The sequence below is a fragment of the Homo sapiens genome, chromosome 5 (genome assembly GCF_000001405.40).
Source record: "Homo sapiens chromosome 5, GRCh38.p14 Primary Assembly".
In the NCBI taxonomy this organism is placed as follows: Eukaryota; Metazoa; Chordata; class Mammalia; order Primates; family Hominidae; genus Homo; species Homo sapiens.
The window spans coordinates 85,906,376-85,914,453 of record NC_000005.10 but is presented as its reverse complement, the minus strand read 5'-3'; the positions used below and the strand labels follow the sequence as shown (position 1 = coordinate 85,914,453).

The window sequence follows — 8,078 nt, the reverse complement described above, 5'->3', positions numbered from 1 at the left end:
GAGATCTTTTCTCTAAGGATGCCTTTTATATTTTTCTCTTGCCTGGTTGCTCTGGTTAGTGCTTTCAGTATTATGCTGATTAGGAGTGGTGAGAGTGGGCATCTTTGTCTAATTCTAGTTCTTACACAGAAATGTTTCCAGTTTTTGTCCATTCAGTATGATGTTTGTTGTGAGTCTGTCATACATGGTCCTTATTATTTTGAGAAATGTTCCTTCAGTGGCTAGTTTCTTGAAGGTTTTTATAATGAAGAGATGTTGGATTTTATTAAAAGTTTCTTTTGCATCTATTGAAATGATCATATGATTTTTTTTTAAAATTCTGTTCATGTGATTAATCACATTTATTAATTTGTATATGCTGAACCAATGTGACAGCCCAAAAAAGAACAATGAATTAACTTTTTTGATATGCTGTTGAATTCGTTTTTCTAGTTTTTCTTTTTCTTTCTTTTCGTGTTTTTTTTTTTTTTTATTGAGGATTTTCATGTCTATATTCATCAGGGATATTGGCTTGCAATTTTATTTTTTGTTGTTGTGTCTTTGCCAGGTTTTAGTTTCAGGTTGATGCTGGTTTCATAGAATGAGTTAGAGAGGAATTTTGCTTTCTCAATTTTTGGAATAGTTTCAACAGAATTTGTACTGGCTCTTCTTTGTATGTATGGTAGAATTCAGCTGTGAATAATCCATTTAGACTAGGGCTTTTTTGGTTTATAGACTTTGATTATGGATAAAATTTCAGAAATTGATATTGGTCTGTTCAGTGTTTCAATTTCTTCCTGATTCAATTTTGGGAGATTGTGATTTCCATTTTCTCTAGATTTTCTAATTTTCATGTGCGGAAGTGTTCATAATAGTCTCTGAGAATCTTTTGTTTTTCCTTGGGATCAGTGGTAACGCCACATTTGTTGTCTCTGATTGTGCTTATTTGGATGTTCTTTTTTGTTGTTAATCTAGCTAGTGATCAACTGATTTTCTTTATCCTTTCAAATAACCAACATGTGGTTTTGGGGGGTTTTTGCATAAATTTTGGGGTTTCATTTTTGTTCAGCCCCCGTGTGATTTTAGTTATTTCTTTTCTTCTGTTAGCTTTGGGTTTAGTTTGCTCTTGTTTTTCTAGTTCCTCAAGATGTGATGTTAGGTCATTAATTTGAGACCTTCCTAGCTTTTTGAGGTTGACCTGGAGTGCTATAAACTTTTCTCTTAACATTGCTTTTGCTGCATCCTTGGGATATTAATATGTTGTGTTTCTGTTTGCATTTATTTCAATTTTTTTTATTTTTGCCTTAATTTCATTGTTTACTCAAAAGTCATTGAGGAACAATTTGTTTAATTTGCATGTAATTTCATGGTTTTGAGAGATCTTCTTGGTATTGATTTCTATTTTTAGTGCACTGGGTCCAAGACTATGGTTGGTATGATTTGGATTTTTTTTTTAATTTCTTGAGACTTGTTTTATGACAGAGCATGTAGTTGATCTTGGAGTATGTCCTGTATGCAGATGAGGAGAATGCATATTTTGTGTTTGATGAGTGGAGTATTCTGTAGATGTCTATTTGGTCCAATTGGCCAAGCATCAAGTTTAAGTCCAGAATTTCTTTGGTAGTTTTCTGCCTTGGTATCTGCTAATGCTGTCAGTGGGGTATTCATATCCTTCACTATTATAGTACAGCAGTCTAAGTCTTTTTGTAGGTCTAGAAGTACTCACTTTATGAATCTGAGTATTCCAATGTTGAATGCATATATATTAGAATACTTAAGTCTTCTTGTTGAATTGAACCCTTTAGTATTTCATAATGTCCTTCTTTGTTGTTGTTTTTTTTTTTCTACTGGCGTTTGTTCAATGTCTGTTTATCTGATATAAAAAGAGCTATCCCTGCTCTCTTTTATTGTCTGTTTGCATGGTTGATCTTTCTCCAACCCTTTATTTTGAGCCTATGGATGTTATGACATGTGTGGTGGGTCTCCTAAAAACAACAGAAGGAGGTGTCTTATTTTTTGTTTGTTTATTTTTTGAGATGGAGTTTCGCTCTTGTTGCCCAGGCTGGAGTACAATGGCACGATCTTGGCTCACTGCAACTTCTACCCCACAGGCTCAAGAAATTCTCCTGCCTCAGCCTCCTCCTGAGTAGCTAGGATTACAGGCATGCACCACCACGCCCAGCTAATTTTGTATTTTTAGTAGAGATGGCGTTTCTCCATGTTGGTCAGGCTGGTCTCGAACTCCCAACCTCAGATGATCCACCCACCTCAGCCTCCCAAAGTGCTGGGATTACAGGCATGAGCCACCTTGCCTGGGATGTCTTGGTTTTTTATTCAACTTGCCACTCTGTGCCTTCTAAGTGGGTCATTGGGGCCATTTACATTAAAGATTAATATCGATATGTGAAGTTTTGACCCTATCATGAGGCTGTTAGCCAGTTGCTTTGTAGTTTGTATTGTATGGTTGCTTATAGGGTCTTCAGGCTATGTACTTAAGTGTGTTTTGCGTTAGCAGGTTGTTCTTTTATTTTTATGTTTAGAACTCCTTTAATAATCTCTTGTAAGGCTAGTGTAGTAGTAACAAATTCCTTTATCACTTTGTTGTTTGTCTGGAAAAACTTTTACTTCTCCTTCACTTATGAAGCTGACTTTGGCAGAGTATAAACTTTTTGATTGGAATTCTTTTTTTTCTTTAAGAATTCTGAAAATAGCCCCCCAGTCTTTTCTGGATTTTAAGGTTTCTGCTGAGAAGTTCACTGTTAGCCTAATAGGTTTCTCTTTGTATATGATCTGACCTTTTTGTCCAATTGCCTTTAAAATTTTTTCTTTACCATTTACCTTGGACAGTTTGGTGACTATCTGCCTTGGCAGTGTTCATTTGGCATAGTATTTCAAATGCATTCTCTGGATTTCTTGTATCTAGATATCCAACACTCTAGCAAAATTAGGGAAGTTTCCTTCAATTATTCCCTCTCAAATATGTTTTCCAGATTAGTTGTTTTTTCACCTTTTTATTTAGGAATGCCAATAATTCATGTGTTTTTCTGCTGTATATAGTCTCATATTTCTCAAAGACTTTGTTCATTTGTTTAGAATTCTTTTTTTCTTTACTTTTGTCTGTCCAGGTTAGTTCAAAAGACCAGTCTTTAAGCTCTAAAATTTTTTCTTCTGTTTGATTCAATTTGTTAAAAAAGTTTTCAATTTTACTTTGAAATTATTCAATTGAATTTTTCAATTCCAAAAGCACTAATTGATTTGTTTTTAAGATGTTTATATCCTTCTGCACTTCCTGGATTGTTTTAGAAGTTTCTTTGTGTTGATTTTCAACTTTGACTTGGATCTCATTGAGCTTTCTCGAAATCTATGCTTTGAATTCTTTATACGTTATTTCTGAGTTTTCATTTTACTTTAGGGACTATTGCTGGAGAGCTAATGTGATCCTTTCGTGGGGTCACTGCATTCAGATTTTTCATGGTGCCAGAATTCTTGCGCTGATACCTTCTCATATGGAGACCTTGACAATCCTAAACTTTGTAATTATTGTATTGCTGGTGGAATATTCTTCTTTTTCTTTCGTTTCATGTTTATATGCGAAGAAAGCTATATATACATTTCTATATAAATATGTTTATAAAATGTATTCATATTAATACATATATTTTATGTATTATAAAATATTAAAATTAAATAATTTTAAATATTAAATTTATAGTAATAATTTAATAAAAGTTATATAAATATATTATATCATTAATAGTAATTTAATAAAATATTAAATAATTTTGTTTACTAATTAATAATTACTAAATAATTATTAAATTTAAATAAATACAATTATTTAATAATTAAAGTATGAAAATTTATTTCATTTATTATAAATTTTTATTTATATATTATTTATATATTTGTATTTTATTTATTTATTATAAAGGTTTTTATTATATAAAATATAATATATTATATAATATATACGCTCCAGCCTGTTACCCTGAAATCATGGCACACCAGGGCCTTCTCTGCTTCACTTCTAGGCAGAAATCCAGGCATTTGGAGCACCTGCTTGCCTGAGCCAGCAGCGAGAACCACCCCACCCTTCATGGACACAGATTGTGCTTTCTCTGCTCCATGCTCCATGCTCAGGCAGATCTCCAGGGATCTCCAGGTGACACCTACTCCACTGGATTAGGAGTTTAGGCCACCCCCTATCTCCATGCAGAATATGAGGCTGAGGAGGTTTCCCAGTTCCATGCCTAGGCACACCTCTGGGCACTTGGTGACTGCCCACTGGATTCTTCCTGAGCCCTGGTGCTTGTGCCAGCCATTGGAAGACCTGTATGTGAACTGGCCTGGCTGAGCACTGCTCTTCATGGCCCCACTCCCAGGGCTGAGCAGGGAGCTCAGACCACTGCATTCCACGAATCAGCCCATTGCCTGTGGCATCACAGAGATTCTCCCAGTAAACAGGAATCAAGTGTATACCTAGCTGCACAGGCTGCTACTGGCTCTTACCTACAAGCACCATTAACTGGCTTGTAGGTCAAACTGCACAGCCCAATATAAAGCCTTTTGAAACAAGTGGGTAGGGCTATAGAAGCAAGCTTTGTAGGGGCATGGATGAAATTGGAAATCATCATTCTCAGTAAACTATCGCAAGAACAAAAAACCAAACACCGCATATTCTCACTCATAGGTGGGAATTGAACAATTAGAACACATGGACACAGGAAGGGGAACATCACACTCTGGGGACTGTTGTGGGGTGGGGGGAGGAATAGCCTTGGGAGATATACCTAATTCTAGATGACGAGTTAGTGGGTGCAGCGCACCAGCATGGCACATGTATACATATGTAACTAACCTGCACATTGTGCACATGTACCCTAAAACTTAAAGTATAATAATAATAAATAAATTTAAAAAAAAAGAAGCAAGTCAAAAAGTCTACACAGCATGTTCACACCCTCTAGGGAAGGTGCAAAGAGAAAGGGGTAAAACATAAATGTAAGCATTTATATTAAAATTATATAAAAATATACGTATTTGTTTCAAAGTATATAAAATATATATTTTTATATCATAATGTATTACATATATTATATTTATATATGTAATTATGTATATATATTATATTATTATATATGTATATATTATATATTATATTATTATATATGTATATATTATATATTATATTATTATATATGTATACATTATATATTATATTATTATATATGTATACATTATATATTATATTATTATATATGTATATATTATATATTATATTATTATATATGTATATGTTATATATTATATTATTATATATGTATATGTTATATATTATAATATATAGTATATTTATTATATATAATGTATAATATATAATTATATAATATATAATATATTATATATAACTTAAATATAATTATATGTATTTTATTTCTGTATGTAATATGTGTGCATTATATAATTATATGTGTATATATTATATATTATATTATATTATTACATATAATATGTAATTATAGAATATATAATATACATTGCATAATACATTACATATTATATATTATATAAATATAATATATGTAACATATATTTTATATACTTTGATATAAATACATATATTTTTATATAGTCTTTATGTAAGTACGTATATTTATGTTTTACCCCTTTCTCTTTGCCCCTTCCCTAGAGGATGTGAGCATGCTGTGTAGACTTTTTGGCTTGCTTCTATAGCCCTACGCACTTGTTTCAAAAGGTTTTATATTGGACTGTTCAGTTTGACCTACAAGCCAGTTAATGGTGCTTGTAGGTAAGAGCCAGTAGCAGCCTATGCAGCTAGGTATACACTTGATTCCTGTTTACTGGGAGAATCTCTGTGATGCCACAGGCAATGGGCTGATTCGTGGAATGCAGTGGTCTGAGCTCCCTGCTCAGCCCTGGGAGTGGGGCCATGAAGAGCAGTGCTCAGCCAGGCCAGTTCACATACAGGTCTTCCAATGGCTGGCACAAGCACCAGGGCTCAGGAAGAATCCAGTGGGCAGTCACCAAGTGTGCCCAGAGGTCTGCCTAGGCATGGAACTGGGAAACCTCCTCAGCCTCATATTCTGCATGGAGATAGGGGGTGGCCTAAACTCCTAATCCAGTGGAGTAGGTGTCACCTGGAGATCCCTGGCGATCTGCCTGAGCATGGAGCAGAGAAAGCCCCGTTATAGTATAATCTGTGTCCATGAAGGGTGGAGTGGTTCTTGCTGCTGGCTCAGGCAAGCAGGTGCTCCAAATGCCTGGATTTCTGCCTAGAAGTGAAGCAGAGAAGGCCCTGGTGTGCCATGACTTCAGGGAAGCAGGCTGGAGCACCCAGCGATGTCATATGCATGTCAGTTCCAAATTGCCTGGCTGGCCCTGGCTTCAAGCCTCAGCACCCATGAGCTGTAAGTAGGGCAGTTTTCTTCCTGTCCCAGGGTTATGATGGGGAGAGCACAATTCCAGCACCTACTGCTGAGGTGCTTTCCACAGTTCTGGCTATGGAGACCCCTGCCCAGCTCCAGAGCAGGTGCTCCAATCTCCGGCCTGAGTCCAAAATGCCTGCATGGTCACTTTGCTGGGTCTCCTATGAGTGCCTGATGTGTGTGTGCCCAGATTTAAAATGGTGTACTGCTTTCAGTCCTGGGCCTAGGAAAATATCTGCAGCATTTCCTGGTGTCTTTCCCTCGTAGCATCGCCAAGCCTCTTCCACCTTACCTCCAGAGCTTGGGAGAAACAAAGTGTCGTCTGTCTGCCTAGGTTGCTCAGGCTCCCAGTGGAAAGGTGAGTCACAGAAGGAGGCTCACTGCCTCTCTAGCACATGGGGTTTCAGTCTCTATCAGCCAGACGCCATCATGGGGCTGTTTGGTGTCATTCCCCCCACAGGATCTGGGGTGTCTTTCATGATCCAAGTGGATTCCCATTTTTTCTTCTGAATTAAAGCTCACAAAGTAGAGTTTTATGTACTCTCTTGCTATTTTCAAGTGACTGATGCCTGCTAAAAGCCTCTAATCCACCATCTTGGAAAACAAACAAACAAACAAACAAAAAACACAGTACTATTAATGTACTGGAAGAACAAGGTTCTCCTCCATTGCAAGTTTTTTTTTCCTATAGACTTCAATGATCTTTAAGTTCACTTAAAAAAATATTGTGACATTTTTATAGTAAAACGTCTGTGAATTTGATCTTCTGTTTGCAACATTGTATTGGCATTCATGCAGCACCATTTTGCAGAGTATGTCACATGAGACACATTAAATATCTCATTGCCATTAAGCTTACATATGGTTCATGACTTTCAGTGTGGTTATTGTGTCTCTAGGTAAAGCATACTTGCACTAAATTAAGCACTAAAGAAGTACTAATTTGAAATTCCAAGGGAAAAGTACTCAAATGTCAAATGGTTTCTGTGTTATTAATTTATAATTGTGTATTTTTTAAATTAACTGTTTATAACAGTATTTAAGTTTAAATAGAAAAGAAACAGACTTAAAAGAAATTGAAATAATAGAAGTTTTGGAACAGTAAAAATGTTTTTCATAGATGTGGTTTGTATTTACTTACCTTTAAGCAATAATGGGTTTTACTACTGGCTTAATGTGAAGAAACTAGGGAAAACTTCAGAAACTTATAAAATTACGTTTTGATTTACTATCAAAAACTGTTGCTCTCAAATGTAATGTATATATTGACTATCAATGTAGTGATGCTTGCAAAATGCGTTAAGGTATGTATATTCCATGCAGTGTTCTTCTGACAGCCTAATCCTATCCATTACAATTGAACCAGGCTTTTGTAAGCCAATAATGAGGAGCAAACAGGTTCTGCAGGTGGAATCCTTAGGTACTGCTTTGAATTTAAGTGTGTATACATATGCTAAATTATGCTACATTTGATGTTTTATGAGACTCCAATCAGAAGTATATTGACATAAAATTCAAGATACAAAGAACTATTATTCAATGTAAATGGCTACCAAAATATTAACAGCAAATTGGAAAAAATATCATCAAAATAATTTTAAAAATTTAAAAATATTATTTTCTGTCTCAATTCTCTGAATCCCCTGATTTCAT

At 35.1% G+C, this 8,078-nt stretch overlaps 1 annotated feature.

Moving 5' to 3' along the window:
* Positions 6,161–7,360: an enhancer, noted in NCBI's record as "CDK7 strongly-dependent group 2 enhancer chr5:85202912-85204111 (GRCh37/hg19 assembly coordinates)". NCBI's record gives its function as "activates an origin of replication core promoter dependent on BRD2, BRD4, P300/CBP, MED14 and CDK7 cofactors, with strong dependence on CDK7, by STARR-seq in HCT116 cells {active_cell/tissue: HCT116}" and the evidence as "EXISTENCE:reporter gene assay evidence [ECO:0000049][PMID:35650434]".